At 34.7% G+C, this 20,316-nt stretch overlaps 1 long non-coding RNA gene across 3 annotated transcripts in view; it reads left to right on the top strand.

Moving 5' to 3' along the window:
* Nucleotides 1-20,316, top strand: part of LOC102723654 (uncharacterized) — a 253,720-nt gene that overhangs the window by 56,761 nt on the left and 176,643 nt on the right. The window lies entirely within an intron of this gene.

A 20,316-nucleotide genomic window follows, 5' to 3' on the forward strand; every position in this document is an offset into this window, starting at 1 on the left:
AGCCCCATATACATCTCTATTGCTCACCTGACCTATCTGTCCCCTTCATCTCTCTATTTAAAATGATGTCTCCCTCATTTCAAAGAACACTCGCTTCAAAGACATGTTTGATCTCAAGTGAACTCCAAACAACTTCCTCTTGGATCTTTAAATTATAAACCTCATTCATAGAGGACTAAATAAGGAATTTACTTTAACATTTGCCTGAAAATGCAAGCAAAAAAGTGAACCTTAATTCATTCAGGTGTGGTAAGAATCAATTCCCCTCCACCTTCCCTGCCCACTGTCACCCCCAATGTGTTCACACCCTAATCCCTAGAACCTATAAATACATGACCTTATGTAGCAAAGAGAATTTTGCAAATGTGATCTAATGAAAAACATTGAGTTGGCGAGATTATCCTGGATTAACCAGGTAGTGTTAATGAAATCCTGAAGGGGTCTTATAAACAAAAGAATCAGAAGATTCAGTATCAGAGGCAGAGAGAGATTTGAAGATGCTGCTGAGCTTGAAGATGGAGGAAGAAGCCACAAGCCAAGGAATGCAGGTGGTTTTAAGAAATTGAGAAAGATAAGGAAATAAATTTTCCACTAGAGCCTCCAGAAAGGAATGCATACAGACACCTTGATTTTAGCCTATTGAGACCTGTGCCACATTTTTGACATCCATAAATGTAAAGCAATACATTTGTGTTGTTTTAAGCCACTAAATTCAGGGTAATTTGTTATAACTGCAATAGAAAACCAACAAGAGGAGTAAGAACATTTTTGTATTCTTTAGCAGAGTAAGATTATAGTATGAGTATTTTAATTAACTCCAAACATACAGCGTAGAAGCTGTCTGCCACATAAAGTGGTATATGTCTATGCATATATATACTCCTGTATTATATATAATGATGTACATATATATGTGTATGAATGTAAATATATAAACATATATGCCAGAAATTAAAATTTTAGAAAAAAATACCAAAACACTGCTTTATGATGTATTCTGATGATAATTACCTATCTTGATTTCAGCATCCTTTCTAGCCTACAAATAAAACATAAATCATATTTATACTTGTCATTACATAGACTTCTGTCACCTGTGTCTAAAGATGAATACCTCTCAGTCTTGCAGTTATTAGCAGCTGTTACAATTTATCAGCCACTATACAAACACTTGAAGTTTGGGTAAAATTCAAAGAAATAATAATTCATGTATTTTTATAGTTTGAAAATTACTTCTACAATTTATATTCCCTGTAAGATAAACTAATAACATAACAATTCAGAAGCTCAGCAATGGTAAAATAGTATTCAAAAGTTTTTTAATATCAATACATTTATTCTAATCATTGAATTAATACTTAATTAGGATTTATGTAATCTGTTATAAAAGTAGCTTTCTTAGTGCACCCAACATTCCTTTCTGCTTTCCGTCTTTTTTGTTGTTGTTTTTTTTCTATCCTTCTTTCCAAGCCATTTATTAATACAATGTTAATAAATGTTCATTTTGAGTGGGTTGGGTAATAATAGCTCTGAATTCTGGGTAATTATCAAATATTTTATAAAATGTATCACTATATTGGTAAAATAATTATATTTGTAATAGTGTTATCTTGTTGATAGTATAATAATCATGATTATAATGATAAAAAGGCTAAATGGCTTAATGATGATCCAGAGGTACTTTTAGGAATACTTTGTTTTTCTAAAAATGGTACATATTCATTATAATATTTATATAAATTAAATACTAAAAAGGGAACAAAATAAGTTATTTCAAATATTAATGTATTACAAATATTCAGGTAGAAAGATAAATAGAAAAACAATGGAATTATATATGATATCTTTAATAAAATATTAAATTTTATTTTACATACATATAATACATGATAACTAAACAATGGAAATTGAAGTAAATGTTGAAAATATTTGGTAAACATTTCTTTACCAACCACAAAAGCTATTAATTTTTTAAAGCATTTTAAAGTCATGAAAAATTAGAACATGAAATTTGGAGTTATAATTTTTCCAAGTCCGTATTTCAAGTTTTGACTGTGTTAACATACTCATTATTATAGAAGATGAGAAAAAAAATGTTTTATGCTTTGCCCACTTTTTTGTGGCAGATGCTTCTCCCTGCATTCTGGTACTCTTGCCCTCATGTAATTCCCTCCCTTTGAGTATGGGCGTGATCTTTGCTTCTAGTCAAAATAATATGGCAATGAAAACAGGATGTTACTTCTATGATTACATTACATTTCAATGCCTGTCTTGCTAGGACTTAGTTTCTTGCAGACTGTTGGACTGAGAGCTTTGGTTTCTTACTCAGGGGTCTTTAGGACAGCTCACAAAAGAAATTCTTAATTCATCAAAGCTAGCAAGGGAGAGAGTTTTGGTAAGAAAAACAATTTTTTCACTTTTAGGTGTTTTTATTTCTAAGAAAGAAATGAACCTGACTTAAAGGCTCTTTTAATCCTTAAACCTCACCCTATTGCTTAACCTCTGCGGTGGAGATTGGAGAAGTGAAAGGAATCTGGGTAGTGGGGGACTTATGTGGCTTGGCTTCACATAGTACTTGGCAGGTAAGCTACTTACAATCAGGAATCATGTTATGTTCACACTTACTCCTCTTGTAAAGGCCCTTAATCGTTTGAACCAATCTCCTGGTTGCTTGAGAAATTACTTACGGTTTAAAGATATGGTTTAAACCCATATGGTTGAGATAGATTAGATCCAGAGAAGCAGACAGACTTAGGAAAGACTTAAAAAGTCAAGAATACTTGATAGTGAACTGAATGTGGTTGAAAGATGAAAGATATTTCAAGGATGATTTTTAGGAATCTAGTTTTGTACAATTGAATGGGTATAGCATCCTTTAATCTAGAAAAAAAACACATTCCTCTAAAGCATCACATCCTTTAAAATTACTTTTCCTGTGTACTAGTTGTCTTCCCTTACCCTGATTAAAACCTCTATGTCCTTTAGAGTACCCCTAATCAGCATAACCTAGGAGTAAACCACCTACACTAAATTTACAAAATCTATCATGTGAACAACTGATTCATCAGCACTACCTGTTAGAGTAATAAGCATTTTCAAAAGGAAGCTTATTAATTATATCTTAGATGGTACGACAAAGGGAAATAAAACATTTTGGGTATTATAGGGCAGAAATTTGGGGGCATGGGATTTCCCCAGTGTTTCTCTTTTCCTATTGTACATGCTTATCCTGAAAACAATATAGATGTCCCTAGATGTCACAAGGGTAAGCATATTGAGGTGGTATGGTATTTGTCACAATGGACTTTTAGTTTCTCATATTATTTACTCGTAGTAGGAGTTTTAAACTTCTAGCTGTTTATCCTTACAAACAAATGAAGTTTTATAATCAGACTGTAAATGGGGAGCCATACTGTTAAGTATTATATCAATGTTACTCCTTATTAATATCAATTTCAGAATCTCTTTTCACTTTTCCAAAAAGTATTTATGAAATATTTTAACTCAGTATGATTTCTTTTAAATGGTTAAACTCAAAATGGACCTGGGTGATGAAATGGGTGATTAAAACCCTCAGCATCATAAACCATTTATTTTAAACTGGTTTACCTTACAATCAACTAATGCCTGCTCATGTTAGAAAACAGAAAAAAGTAATTTGTGATTGTAGTACATAGGAGCTTAATACTCTGACAGAGGAGGTATGGAGAAGGCAGACAACCATTTTGAGAGAAATATGATACTACTATGTCAGCAAATCTATTCTGGTGAGATAGTCTCTCATGAGCTCCTAATGAAATGTGTATGTCTTAGTCCATTTTTGCTGCTATAACAGAAAACCAAAGACTGGGTAATTTGTAATGTGCGGAAATCTATTGGAGGCTTGGAAGTCCAATATCAAGGTGCCATCATCTCCCAAGAGCTTTCTTACTGTGTCATCACATGGCAGAGAGAGGAGCAAGAGAGACACACACACAGGGGAGTTAAATTTGCCCTTTTATAATGGTATCAATCCCATCCATGAGGGCAGATCCTGCATTGCCTAATCACCTCTAAAAATTTCCATCTCTTAATACTGTTACAATGGCAACTGTATTTCAACTTGAGTTTTAGAGGGAACAAACATTCAAACCAAAGCATTCTGCCTCTGGACCACTCAAAACTGATGTTCTTCTAAAATATAAAATACAGTCATTTCATCCCAATAGCCCCAGAAGTCTTAACTTGTTCTAGCACCAATTTAAAAGTCCAAAGTCAAGAGTCTCTTCTAAATCAGATATGGGTGATACTCAAGTGCGATTCATCCCTCTAGCTGTGAGCCTGTGGAATCAAAATGAGTTATATGCTTCCAAAATACAATGGGTGGGATGGCCATAGGGTAGATATTCCATTCCAAAAGGAAGAAACCTGAGCAAAGAAAGGAATAACAAATCCCAAATAAGTGTAAAACCCAACAGAGCAAACAACCTTATATATTAAGGCTGGAGAATAATCTCGTTTGACTCCATTTCCCAACTTCTAGGCACATTGGGGTGAGGATTGGGCCCAATCCTTCTCCAATAAGTAGCACCTAGATTATTTCTATCCATAATGAGTAATGCCTGGCTTCTACTTCTACCTATACCAATCTCTTTATCAAATGATCACTTGGCTGCAGCCTTGATTTTCCCTCCTAAACATGCCTTTTAATTCTTTCCATGGCCAGGCTGGGTATTTTCCAAATCCTTACATTCTGTTTCCCTCTAAGTTATAAATTCTATCTTTAAATTATTTCTCTTTTTTTTTTTTTTTTTTGCATTTTACTACATGCAGTTAAAAGAAGCCACACAACACCCTGAATGCTTTGTTGCTTGTATATTTCTACTGCCAAATATCCTGGTTCATCGCTCTTAAGTTTTGCCTTCCATAACATCCTAGGGCACGGACACAATTCAGTCAAGTTCTTTGCCACTTTATAACAATGAAGGCCTTTTCTTTAATTTCCAATACCTTATTCCTCATTTCCACCAGGGACCTTATCAGAACGGCTTCTATTGTCCATGTATCTACCAACATTTTAATCATAACCACTGAAGTTATCCTTAAGAAGTTTCACTTTCCTTACATTTCTTCTCGTCTTCTGAGCCCTTACCAAAATCCTCCTTAGCACTCCATTTATGGCAATACAAGCTCTCCCGAGTCTTCTCTAATTTCTTTCAGCCTGGACTTATTACCCAGTTACAAAGCCACTTTCACATTTTTAGGTATTTGTTATAGCAACAGCCTACTTTTGGTACCAATTTCTCTCTTAGTCTATTTGTACTTCAATAATAGAATATCACAGACTGACTAATCTATAATAAACAGAAATTTATTGACTTAGAATTTCAGAGGTTGGAAAGTTCAATATGAAGGTGCTGGCATTTGGCAAGGACCTTCCTGCTGAGTCGTTAAATGGTGAAAGGCAGAGGATGAGAGAGACAAAAGAAAACCGAATTTGCCCTTTTATAATAGTAGAGTCCTCATGGCCTAATCAGCTCTTAAAGGTCTCACATCTCATTACTATTACAATGGCAGTTAAATTTCAACATGAGTTTTGGTGGGGACAAGCATTTAAATCATAGCAGTGTGTGTCTGTGGTGGAAGGTTGCTGAAGGCCAACTGGGGACATGGATAGCCAAAAGTGTTGCACATAAATGATGGAGAATTGTGCAGTAGTTAGAAGCAATGAAATACATATACACAGAGAAATCTGGATGCAGTTTAAAGCATAATACTCGAGGGGGGAAAAAAAAGAACAGAATGAAACCTAAAGCCCAATACCATATATTAAAGTAAATGCACACAAGATAGTAAAGTTTTCACAAGAGCACACAGAAACTAAAAGTCACACCATAAACACAAAGTAAACACTCCTGGGAAGGAGAGGAGGAGAATGAGAGTAGGGAATAGAGGAAAAAGGGAGCCAGTAATTACATAAATAAGAGGGATCATTAAACAGAGCAGTGGACATAATTTCCAATGCACTGAGGTATCTAATTCATTTTCCTTTTCACCTAAGTTTCCTGTCTTATGAAAAATATACATGCTTGTATTATAAATTACACAGATTTGCAAAAAAGAAAATAACTTTTTTTTCGCATTCTACTGATTAGGAATTTCTTTGTTTAGATGTTGCTATATTTCAATGTAATATATTTAATGCATTTTTACAGTTAAGAACAGAATAAATATATAACTTTATAACTTGCTTTTGTCACTTAACAATATAGAATAAGTGGTAACAAAGTATAGTACAGATTTTTCCACTTACGACATTTACTAACTAGCTTTCTTATCTTGGACAAGTTGAGTAACTCTTTCGGTGAGAGTTTCTTTATCTAAGAAAGTGGGGTAATGATTTCCAATGTGAAAATCTGAAGATTAAATGAGATCATGCCTGTAATGTGCCCAATATGCTGCTGGCACAGAAATTGAGCAGCTATTGTTTCTATAAGCATTTCCTCACGCTAGCCTTAAAAATATGTATATTTTAATGTTTCCATTATACCAAATGCTGAATTCTCCTGTTCTTGGATATTTAGGTTGCTTTGACTATTTGTGACTATAAATGATATTTTTAAGAACCTCTAATTGTTTAAGTTTTTATTTTAATAATTATTTCTTTAGGATATTTGCAATTACCAAACATTATTGACATAACTAAGGTTTTTGATAATGGATTGCTTTATATTCTCCAGCTTGAAAATATCAATATCTCCATCTTCTTCTAAAACATAACTTTATCACCATTTTGTTTCAACTTTTCTCTATCATATTTATTTCCTTTTTTCTAAAAGATCTGATTAATGTAAAATAATATTTTATATAACACTTTTCCTCCAATGTGTTTTCTTGCATTCCAGGGGCTCTTGTTTCTGGAACTGCATGTGCTTCATAGGAACTGTATCCTTTTATTTAAAAAACCGTATAACTGGAAACATTTTTCTAAGTTATTTTTAACTTTTAAAACTGGTTTTTAGAACCCAGTTCCTTTAGCCATTTTTTTTTTTTTGGAAAAATCTTGAATGCTACATATTTATAGCAGCATTTTGTATCTAAAATTTTTACAATGCAGAGATGGGCTATAATTTTCTGTTTTAATACCAATTTTTAGCATTTTGATTATGCCTTAAAATTTTTAAATAAAACTGGCCATTTATTCCTAGTTTTCATATATAATATCTAGGGTGGCAAAGCAGTGTTTAAGATAACTTCATAGTCTGTTGGAAGACACTATCTACAATATTTATAGTACAACTCCAATGTTAAAACTTCCAGGAAAAGTTGGTTAGATGTTTTTGATGCATTTCCAGGTAAAACAGACAAGATCAGTAGGTACTCTCATTATAGGGGTTCACTCATCAGAGGGACTGATCAGCCATCAATTATTGAGAATAGAATTTGTGCAGCAAATTATGTGGGCTACAACAGGAGAATGGAAAGGAATAAAAGGCACATATCTTGTCTTCTAAAAATTTTTAATCTTATTGAGGGAGATTAGACAACATACAGGAAATGAGAAAGATTATCAGGTAGCACATAAGTGTCTGGGGAGTAGAAGAGATACAGTGTTCAAGGGATCCTGGCAGTGTGATAACTAGGTAGCAGTTGGCAAAGTCTTTACGGAAGTTACATGGGAGGAAAATTTTTCCCTAAACAAGGGATAAATTATATGTGTGGCATACATATTATATGTGTGGTATACATACCACACATATGAGGAAGCACTCTCCCAAAATTCCAAGCTTGCAAGTCAATCTGTGAATCAGTCTGTTCACAGGCTAATTTACAAATAAAAACCAGAAACATTTTCTCTACCTGGTATTAGATGTGGGTTTTGACTCATTCAGCAATAATTTCTTCCATTTGCAGATGCTATCCAATCAATTGATATTTTAGTGAGGGAAGGTGGGCAAGGGGGAGAGAGGGAAGGTAATAAAGAATTACGAGTGGTAGGAAAAGGCCTACAAACAATGCCAAGAGTAAGCATGCTTTGGAATCAGCAGGGGCATGTGTTCCAGGAAAAGCATTGTTAGGAAATGAGACTAAAACCAGTGAGATAAGGCAGTTAGATAGAAATCAAACTGGGACTCAGAATTCTCAAGAAATTGGCAACCCTAATGACAATGGACAAAATGAGAGTTCCCTTTCTACAAAAAATTAGTAGATGCCAAATTCAGCCATGAAAATCAAATAAAGGGTGCTGCTTCGGTATTTTCATTGATTCTTAAAAAAATGTGAATCTTAACAGCACGTTTCAAGATAACGATTGATGAGAATGGGAATAAGCTTTTGCCATAAATTACCCCAGTTCTGCTGCAGCAAAACATTTTGTGTGGTCAGCTCCTGTGTTTTACTGCAGTTCTGAGACGTTTACACTACTTGCCTTACGTCTTAAGTTATAGAACTTTGGCTGGGAATGGAGAAGGCTAAAGCTCAGATAGTGTAGTCTTTGAGGTTACATAGTTTGCTTGTGGCAATCCCAAAAAAGAAAGTTGTGTTCTAGAACTTTCATTAAGTATACTTTAAATTTTTTTATGTGAAGTTGGTCATTTATCCATAGTCTTCATATGCCAATGGTCCCTTAGTTATAATGGGTCAATTTATGAGTTTTCTACTTTACAATGGGTTATTGAGACATAACTCCATTGTAACTTAAGGAGCTTCTTATGACATATAAGGGAGTAACAGTTTCTACTGAGTGCATGTCTCTTTCTCACTATCATGAAGTTGAAAATTCATAATGGAACCATCTGATTAGTCAGAACCATTTACTATGTTGCCAGAATTAAATGTATTTTCTATGTATGATGGGTTTTTTCAGATGTAACACCATTACAAGTCAAGGAGCATCCGTATATTATTTAGGGTAGCAAAGCTGTGTTTAAGATAACTTTTTAGTCTGGTAAAAGACGTTATCTATAATACATATAATTACAGATGTATAGAGTTAGGGAATAACTCGTTATTTGGTTGACCTTTAGAAAGATGACCGTTCACACAAATTGAAAAATATTATAAATAAAAGAAAAATAAAAACTCAAGATACTTTTAATGTAGGATTTAATTCAATGGATTAGGATTTATTAAGCAATGCTTACATTCTGCTTCTGTTGGTTTAACTATTTGTAATATGAACTTCAGCAAGGCTATCTGTGATGCTTCTCATGAGCTGTGTTAGAGACTGATGACCATTATAAAGGAACAAATAAATATTTTTAGACTTTCTAAGGACTAGATGGCTTCTGTCATAAGTACTCAGTCCTGTTGTTGTAGTCCAAGAGCAGCCACAGACAATAGGTAAATTAGTGAGCGTGAACATGGTCCAATAACACTTTACAAAAACAGATGGTGGGCCAGATTTGCCCAGCAGACTATAGTTTGCCAAACCTTAATCCATTTTAAAGGAACCTTAAACAGAGACCGAAGTGAAAGAAACAAAGAATTGGGTTGTTGGGTAATTCAGAGTTTCAGTCCATGGCCTCTCTTATGCCTCTATATTTTTTAGTGCTAAATAGGTATTAGTGTAATTTAAAAATATGAATTAAATATATTATTTAGGAAAAAATCTCTACAAGCATTAATACTTTCATAAAGATAAAATTCTTTTTCAATTTTATTTAAATCAACAGATGAAAATATAGGTATTTATCATTTAAAACTTGATATTTTGAAGTATAGGTACATTGAATAATAACTAAATCTAGCTAATTAACATATGCATAACTGCATGTATTTATCATTTTTTAGTAAGGACACTTAACACCCACTCACCATTTTTCAAGAATATACTATATTAACTGTGTCGTACAATAGATTTGCTGAACTTAATTTTATCTAACTGAATTTTTTTTTTACCTTTTGACTGGCATCACCCCACCCCCAATCACCTCAGCTCCTGGTAACTACCGTTCTTCTCTCTAGTTCTATGAAATTAACTTTTGTAGATTCTATATATGAATGACACTATGTAGTATTTGTCTTTCTGTGCTTGGGTTATTTTGCTAATGTAATGCCCTTAAGATTCATTTATGTTGTAAATTGTGGACTCTTTTTTTAGGGCTGAATAGTATTTCATTGTGCATATGAACTACATTTTTATTATCCATTAATCCATGGATAGATATAGGTTGATTACATATCTGGACTATTATGAATAATGCTGCCATAAACACGGATGTACAGACATCTCTTCAACATACTGATTTTTTCCCTTTATATATATACCCAGTAGTGAAATTGCAGAATCACATGGTAGTTCCATTTTTAATTTTGTGAGAAACCTCCATAATGTTTTTCATAATGGCTATAGTAACTTGCATTCCCACCAACAGTGTACAAAGGTTCTCTTTTTCTTCACATCCTGGCAAACACTTGTTATCTTTCATCGTTTTAATATCTTTTTAATAATACACATTCTAAGAGGTATAAGGTAATATCTCATTGTGGTTTTAATTTTTGTTTTCCTAATAATTGGTGATGTAGAATATTTTTTCATATACCTATTGACCATTGGTTTACCTTCTTTTGGGAAATGTCTACTCAGATTCTTTGCTCACTTTTTAATTTTATAATTTGTTTTCTTGCCATTTTGTAATTTGTTTTCTTGCCATTGAGTTGTTTTAGTTTCTTGTATATATTGGGTATGAACCCTTTATCATGTGTGTGGTTTACAGTTACTTTTTCCCTTTCCATAGGTTGTCTATTCATTCTATTGATTATTTTCTTTCCTGTGCAGACACTTCTAATTTTGATGTAATCCCATTTTTCTATTTTTGCTTTTGGAGTCCTGTCCCCAAAAAATCATTGCCTGAACCAACATCATGGAGCTTTTCCCCTATATTTTTGTCAAATCATTTGATAGTTTTAGGTTTTACATTAAATATTTGAGTTGATTTTTGTATATTATATGAGAGAAATTTTCAAATTGATTCTTCTGCATATGAATATCCCGTTTTCCAACACCGTTTATTAACAAGACTGTCCTTTCCTCATTGTGTGTTCTTTGCATTTTTGTCAGAAATTGGTTGGCTTTGTCCTGAAGATTCTGGTACGTTGTGTCTTTGTTCTCAATCATTTCAAAGAACTTACTTATTTCTGCCTTAATTTCATTATTTACTCAGTAATCATTCAGGAACAGGTTGTTCAGTTTCCATGTAGTTGTGCGGTTTTTAGTGAGTTTCTTAATCCTGAGTTCTAATTTGGTTGCACTGTGGTCTGAGAGACTGTTTGCTATGATTTCCATTCTTTTGCATTTGCTGAGACGTGTTTTACTTCCAATTATGTGGTCAATTTTAGAATAAGTGCGATGTGGTGCTGAAAAGAATGTATATTCTGTTGATTTGCAGTGGAGAGTTCTGTAGATGTCTACTAGGTCCGTTTGGACCAAAGCGGAGTTCAAGTCCTGAATATCCTTGTTAATTTTCTGTCTTGTTAATCTGTCTAATATTGATGGTGGGGTGTTAAAAAATCCCACTATTATTGCATGAAAGTCTAAATCTCTTTGTAGATCTCTAAGAACTTGCTTTATGAATCTGGGTGCTCCTGTATTGGGTGCATATACATTTAGGATAGCTAGCTCTTCTTGTTGTATTGATCCCTTTACCATTATGTAATGGCCCTTCTTTGTGTTTTTTGACCTTTGTTGGTTTAAAGTCGGTTTATAAGAGACTAGGATTGCAACCCCTGCTTTTTTTTTTTTTTTTTTTTTTTTTGCTTTCCATTTGCTTAGTAAATATTCCTTCATCCCTTTATTTTGAGCCTATGTGTGTCTTTGTATGTGAGATGGGTCTCCTGAATACAGCACACCAATGGGTCTTGACTCTAACCAATTTGCCAGCCTGTGTCTTTTAATTGGAGCATTTAGCCCATTTACATTTAAGGTTAATATTATTTTTTTTCATTAAGTATCTCTTATTTTATTTTATTTTTTATTATACTTTAAATTTTAGGGTACATGTGCACAACGTGCAGGTTTGTTACGTATGTATACATGTGCCATGTTGGTGTGCTGCACCCATTAACTCTTCATTTAACATTAGGTATATCTCCTAATGCTACCCCTCCCCCCTCCCCCCACCCTACCACAGGCCCCAGTGTGTGATGTTCCCCTTCCTGTGTCCATGTGTTCTCATTGTTCAATTCTCACCTATGAGTGAGAACTGCGGTGTTTGGTTTTTTTGTCCTTGTGATAGTTTGCTGAGAATGATGGTTTCCAGCTTCATCCATGTCTCTACAAAGGACATGAACTCATCATTTTTTATGGCTGCATAGTATTCCATGGTGTATATGTGCCACATTTTCTTAATCCAGTCTATGATTGTTTGACATTTGGGTTGGTTCCAAGTCTTTGCTATTGTGAATAGTGCCGCAATAAACATACGTGTGCATGTGTCTTTATAGCAGTATGTTTTATAATCCTTTGGGTATATACCCAGTAATGGGATGGCTGGGTCAAATGGTGGGAATTTGATCCTGTCATTATGGTGCTAGCCAGTTATTTTGCCCATTAGTAGCTGCAGTTTCTTCATAGTGTCGATGGTCTTTACAATTTGGTATGTTTTTGCAGTGGCTAGTATGGGTTTTTCCTTTCCATATTTAGTGCTTCCTTCAGGAGCTCTTATAAGGCAGGCCTGGAGGTGACAAAATCTCTCAGCATTTGCTTGTCTGTAAAGCATTTTACTTCTCCTTAGCTTATAAAGTTTAGTTTAGCTGGATATGAAATTCTGGGTTGAAAAGTCTTTTCTTTAAGAATGTTGAATATTTGCCCCAACTCTCTTCTGGCTTGTAGGGTTTCTGCAGAGAGATCCGCTGTTAGTCTGATGGGCTTCCCTTTGTGGGTAACCCAGTCTTTCTCTCTGGCTACCCTTAACATTTTTTCCTTCACTTCAACCTTGCTGAATGTGATGATTATGTGCTTTGGGGTTGCTCTTCTCAAGGAGTATCTTCGTGGTGTTCTCTGTATTTCCTGAATTTGAATGTTGGCCTGTCTTGCTAGGTTTGGGAAGTTCACCTAAATAATATCCTGAAGAGTGTTTTCCAACTTGGTTCCATTCTCCCTGTCACTTTGAGCTAAAGCAGTATTTAGAGGGAAATTTATAGCACTAAATGCCCACAGGAGAAAGTGGGAAAGATCTAAAATCAACACCTTAGCATCACAATTAAAGGAACTAGAGAAGCAAGAGCAAACAAATTCAAAAGCTAGCAGAAGACAAGAAATAACTAAGATCAGAGCAGAGCTGAAGGAGATAGAGACACAAAAAACCCTTCAAGAAATCAATGATCCAGGGGCTAGTTTTTGATAAGATTAACAAAATAGATAGACCACTGGCTGGACTAATAAAGAAGAAAGTGAAAAATCAAATAGACACAATAAAAAATGATAAAGGGGATATCACTGCTGTGATCCCACAGAAATACAAACTATCATCAGAGAATACTATAAACACCTCTACACAAATAAACTAGAAAATCTAGAAGAAATGGATAAATTCTTGGACATACACACCCTCCGAAGACTAAACCAGGAAGAAGTCAAATCCTTGAATAGACCAATAACAAGTTATGAAATTGAGGCAGTAATTAATAGCCTACCAACCAAAAAAAGTCCAGGACCAGACGGATTCACAGCCGAATTCTACCAGAGGTACAAAGAGGAGCTGGTACCATTCCGTCTGAAACTATTCCCAATGATAAAAAAAAGGACTCCTCCCTAACTCATTTTATGAGGCCAGCATCATCCTGATATCAAAACCTGGTAGAGACACAACAAAAAAAGAAAATTTCAGGCCAATATCCCTGATGAACATTGATGCAAAAATATTCAATAAAATACTGGCAAACCGAATCCAGCAGCATATCAAAGAGGTTATCCATCATGATCAAGTTGGCTTCATCCCTGGGATGCAAGGCTCATTTGGCATATGCAAATCAACAAACAACCCATTACATAAACAGAATGAATGACAAAAACCACATGATGATCTCAATAGATGGAGAAAAGGTCTTCAATAAAATTCAACACCCCTTCATGGTAAAAGATCTCAATAAACGAGGTATTGATGGAACCTACCTCAAAATAATGAGAGCTATTTATGACAAACCCACAGCCAATATCATACTGAATGGGGAAAAGTTGGAAGCCTTCCCTTTGAAAACTGGCACAAGACAAGGATGCCCTCTCTCACCACTCCTATTCAACATAGTATTGGAAGTTCTGGCCAGGGCAATTAGGCAAAAGAAAGAAAGAAAGGGTATTCAAATAGGAAGAGAGGAAGTCAAATTGTCTCTGCAGATGACATGATTGTGTATTTAGAAAACCCCATTGTCTCAGCCCAAAATTTCCTTAAGCTAATAAGTAATTTCAGCAAAGTCTCAGGATACAAAATCAATATGCAAAAATCACAAGCATTCCTATGCACCAATAATAGAGAGCTAAATCATGAGTGAACTCCCAATCACTATTGCTACAAAAAGAATAAAATACCTAGGAATACAACTTACAAAGGTGTGAAGGACCTCTTCAAGGTGAACTACAAACCACTGTTCAAGGAAATAAGAGAGGACACAAACTAACGGAAACACATTCCATGCTCATGGATAGGAAGAATCAATATTGTGAAAATGGCCATACTGCCTAAAGTAATTTATAGATTCAATGCTACCCCTATCAGGCTACCACTGACATTCTTCACAGAATTAGAAAAAAACCACTTTAAATTTCATATGGAACCGAAAAAGAGATCATACAGCCAAGACAACTTTAAGCAAAAAAGGAGAAAGCTGAAGGCATCATGCTACCTGACCTCAAACTATACTACAAAGCAACAGTAACCAAAACAGCATGGTACTGGTACCAAAACAGATATATAGACGAATGGAACAGAACAGAGGCCCCAGAAATAATGCCACACATCTACAACCATCTGATCTTTGACAAACCTGATAAACACAAGCAATGGGAAAAGGATTCCCTATTTAATGAATGGTGTTGGGGAGAACTGGCTAGCCATATGCAGAAAACTGAAACTAGACCCCTTCCTTACACCTTATACAAAAATTAACTCAAGATGGATTAAAGTCTTAAATGTAAGACCTAAAACTATAAAACCCTAGAAGAAAACCTAGGGAATACCATTCAGTACATAGGCATGGACAAAGACATCATGACTAAAACACCAAAAGCAATTGCAACAAAAGCCAAAATTGACTACTGGGATCTAAATAAGCTGAATAGCTTCTGCACAGCAAAAGAAACTATCATCAGAGTGAACAGGGAACCCACAGCTGGGAGAAAATTTTTGCAATCTATCCATCTGACAAAGGTCTAATATCCAGAATCTACAAAGAACTTAAACAAATTTACAAGAAAAATAAAAACAAAGAACTCCATCAAAAAGTGGGAGAAGGATATGAACAGATACTTCTCCAAAGAAGGTATGTATGCAGCCAACAAACATATAAAAAAAAGCTCAGCACTGGTCATTAGAGAAATGCAAATCAAAATCATCTCATGCCAGTTAGAATGGTGATCATTAGAAGTCAGGAAACAACAGATGCTAGAGAGGATATGAAGAAATAAGAGTGCTTTTACACTGTTGGCGGGAGTGTAAATTGGTTCAACTATTGTGGAAGACGGTGTGGCAATTCCTCAAGGATCTAGAATCAGAAATACCATTTGACCCAGTGATCCCATTACTGGTTATATACCCAAAGGATTATAAATCATTCTACTATAAAGACACATGCACGTGTATGTTTATTGTGGCACTGTTCACAATAGCAAAGACTTGGAATCAACCCAAATGCACATCAATGATAGACTAGATAAAGAAAATGTGGCACATACACATCATGGAATACTATGCAGCCATAAAAAGGATGAGTTCATGTCCTTTGCAGTGACATGATGAAGCTGGAAACCATCATTCTCAGTAAACTAACGCAGGAACAGAAAACCAAACACCACGTGTTCTCACTCATAAGTGAAAGTTGAGAACAAATGGACACAGGGAGGGGAACTTCACACAGCAGCTCCTGTCAGTGAGTTGGGAGTGCTAGGGGAGGGATAGCATTAGGAGAAATACCTAATGTAGATGATGGGTTGATCAGTGCAGCAAAGCACCATGGCACACGTATACCTATGTAACTAACCTGCATATTCTGCACATGTATCCCAGAACTTAAAGTATAATTAAAAAAATTATTTGTTCTACATATTGTAAATACTTTTTTTCAAAAAAAATTCGTTGGCTTTAAATGTGTAAATTTATTTCAGGACTCTCTATTCTGTTCCGTTGGTCTATGTGTCTATTTTAATGCCAGTACCATGCTCTTTTGGTTACTATAGCTTTGTCATATTTTTTGAAGTCAGGCAGTATGCTTCCAGATTTGTTCTTTTGCTCAGGACTGCTTAGGTTACTTGAGGTCTTTTGTAGCTCCATACAAATTTTAGGTTTCATTTTTCTATTTCTGTGAATAATGCCCTGATATTTTTAGAGGAACTGAATGGTATCTATTGATTCCTTAAGGTAGTTAGGGTAGTATAGACATTTTTACCATTATTTCTACTAATTCCACGAACACAAGACATCTTTCCATTTATTTGTGTCTTCAATTTTTTTAGCAATGTTTTATATTTTTCAGTGTAGACATCTTTCACTTTCTTGCTTAAATTTATTTCTAAGTTTTTTTGTAGCTATTGTAAATGGGATTATTTCTCAATTTCTTTTTCAGATAATTTGCTGTTAGTGTATAGAAATTCTACTGATTTTTAAAATGTTCATTTTGTATACTGTAACTTTACTGAATTAATTCATTAGTTCAAAAAGATTTTTGGTGGGGTATTTGGGGTTTCCTATATATGAGAATGTTTTCTGCAAATAGGGACAATTTACCTTCTTTTTTTTCCAGTTAGGCTGCCTTTGATTTTTTCCTCTTGCCTAATTGCTCTGGCTAGGACTTCCAGTACTATGTAGAGAATAAGTGGTGAAAGTGGGTGTCCTTGTTTTCTCCCCGATCTTAAAGAAAGATCTTTCAACTTTTCCAAGTTGTGTATGATTTTAGCTGGGGGTTTGTCATGTGGATATTGCCTTTATTGTATTGAGGTACATTGCCAATATAGCTAATTTGTTGGAAGTTTTTTATTGTGAGAAAATATAAATTTTTTTCAAATGCTCTTTTCTGCATTTAATATAAATTTTTTTCTTCATTTTGTTAATGCAGTGCATTACATTTTTTATTTGTATATTTTGAACCATTCTTGTGTCTCTAGGACAAGTCCAATTTGATCATAGTGAATAATCTTTACAAATATGCTGTGGAATTTGGATTGCTAGTATTGTATTGAGGCCTTTTGCATCTATGTTCATCGGGATATTTATCCGTAATTTTCTTTTTTTTTGTAGTATTCTTGATTGTCTTTGGGATCAGCATAATGCTGGCCTCATAAAATGAGTTTGGAAGTATTTGCTCTTCAAATTTTTAGAAGAGTTTGTGAAGAATTGGACTTGTTCTTTAAGTGTTTGGCAGAATTCGGTGGTATTGCTATATTGACCTCTTTGTCACAATATATGACCTCTTTTGTTTATTTTTACAAGTTTTGACTTAATGTCTATTTTATCTCATAAGTGTAGCTACTCCTGCTTTCTTTTGGTTTTGATTTGCATGGAATATCTTTTTCTATCCCTTCCATTTCAGTTTATGTGTGTCCTTACAGCTGAGGTGAGTCTCTTGGCAGCATAGACATGGGTCTTGTTTGTTTGGTTTTTTAATCCATTAGCCATGTTGTCTTTTAATTTGAGAATTTAGTCTAGCTACATTCAAGGTAATTAATCATAGCTAAGTGCTTACTACCATCATTTGATTGTTTTCTAGTTGTTTTGTAGATACTTTGTTTTTTTCTTCTTTTGCTGTCTTCCTTTGTGGCTAAGTAATTTTCTTTAGTGGTATATTTTGACTCCTTGCTTTCTAACTTTTTGTGTTTCTACTGTAAGTTTTTGCTTTTGGTTACCGTGAAGCTTACAAAATCATCTTGTAATTATAATAGAATATTTTAAGCTAAAATCAACTGTGATGACAAAAATTACAACTGCAGACTTTTACTTCACTCTTCCTCAATATTTTACATTTTTTATTTTTAAATTTACTTTTTAAAATATTTATCGCTTAACAAATCTATAATTTATAGTAGTTTTGTCTCATAAACATATGTGTTTCACACATCACCATATCACCATTATAGTATTAAATTACTCTGAATTTGTGTATTTGCTTTTACCAGTTAATAGTTTCAGCTGTTTTGTGTTAATCATTAACATCTTTTTTTAATATTGAATAGCTTTCTTTAGCATTTCTTGTAAAGCAAGTCTGGTAGTGATTAACCCTCTCAGCTTTTTGTGGCTTTTTTTTTTTTTTTTTTTGGCAGAGGTGGGGTCTGGAAAAATCTTTATCACTTTCATTAGTGAAGGATAGTTTTGCTAGGTACAGTATGCTTGGTTGTCATTTTTTCCTTAGCACTTTAACTAGATTATCTCATGCTCTCCTGGCCTTCTTCTGCTGAGAAGTTGTCTGCTAGCCATACAGGAACTTCCTTATATGTTGTTTGCTTCTTTACTCTCACTGCTTTCAGGATCCTTTCTCTGTCTTTGATTTTTGACAGTTTCATTTTAGTATATCTTGAGGTAGTGTTGTTTGAGTTGAATCTTTTTGGTGAGCATTGTCCTTACATTACCTGGATAGTTATCTTTCTCCAGGTTTGGAAAGTTTTCTGCTATTATTTTTTAAAAGTAAGCTTTCTAATCTGTCTTTAAGTTGAGAGATTCATTCGTCTGCTTGATCAATTTTTCTGTTGATGCTGTCTACTGGACTTTTCACTGTATTTTTCAGCTGCAGGCTGTTTGATATTTTATTATTTTAATTTCTGTTAATTTTCTAATTATGGTCATTTATTTCTTTCCTCATGTCATTGAATTCCTCTGTATTTCCATTGAGTTTCTCTATTTTCTTGTTCTCTGATCTTCCTTAAAATAGTTATTTTGAATTCCTTTTTAGGAAGTTTATACGTCTCATTTTTTTTGGGGGGGGCATGTCATTGGCACTTTATCTTTTTGTTTATACTATTTTTCTTTATTCTTTATTGTTGTGGTCATGCATTTACGTCATTGCAGTCTTCGTAGACTGGCTTTATCTGGGAATTCCCTTCACCAGTCAGCCCATCTAGAAATTCTTGGAAGGCTGTCTGGCATAGTCCCAAAGCCCAAGGTTGCTGAGGCCAGCACAACGCTGAGGTAGGATAAAAGCCTAGGGCCACTGGGATGAGCTAGAAGCCTGCGGCTACTGAGGCCTGCTGCTGCTGAGGTATTTCCAGATCCTGGGGCTGCTGAAGTTTGTCCAGTGATGGTATAAACCCGGGATTGACTCCACCTTTCTTACCTGAAGTCTGGGGCTTTGGGGGTCCTGCTTGGTGCTGGGACAGGTCTGTAGGCTCAGTCTTCAGGTGCCAGCCAGGATTCTGGGGCTGTGGTGGCCTGCTCAGTGCTGGGCTTTACACTGAGGCAAGCTTGGTGTTGGTGTCCAAAACAAAGTCCTGTGCTCACATTCCTCTCTTTCCTGCAAGCAGAGAGTATCTGTTCCTGCATTGTGCTGCCTGGGTTTGGAAGAGAGGTGACATGGTTAATTTCAAACTCTTTTCTACCCTCTTCAGTTCAGTGTGTCTTTTCTTATTGTGCTACAAACAGGTCCTGTAATTGTTTGCCTGGTTTCCTTAGCTCTTGTGAAGGTATTTTCATTTATAGACTGTTTTTCAGATCAATGTTTCTGTAGGGGTATGATCACTAGAGAGTCCTATTACACTATCTGGCTCTGCCCTTCTGTTTTTAAATTTTAATATTATCTATTTATAAGCCAGAAAAATATTATATTCTAGATTGTGTATAATATATATAATCTTTGCCAATTTCTGCAAATCCTTACAATACCTTAATTTTCTTATTTTAGTTTGCTAAAATTGTATGACAAGCCTTCACAGCAAATTTGGTATGTATTCTTCTACTCTTAGTGAAATTTTTGGAAAAATATGGAAAAATACACCAGGAAAAGAGGGAAAGGAATCACTGAGATTTCTTAACGCTTTCACTGTTTTTGAGAATTGTAGGTCAAAGTTGTAGACAACGTGGATAGATTGTGTATAACTGGTAAGAGGGGGATACAGAAAGTGAAGAGCTAGCATGTTTTTTCTTATGACAAAGAAGGGGAAAATCATTTTGTAAGTGCACACATCTTAGGCATTATGCTAAA

This window comes from Homo sapiens, chromosome 5, assembly GCF_000001405.40.
Source record: "Homo sapiens chromosome 5, GRCh38.p14 Primary Assembly".
NCBI lineage: Eukaryota > Metazoa > Chordata > Mammalia > Primates > Hominidae > Homo > Homo sapiens.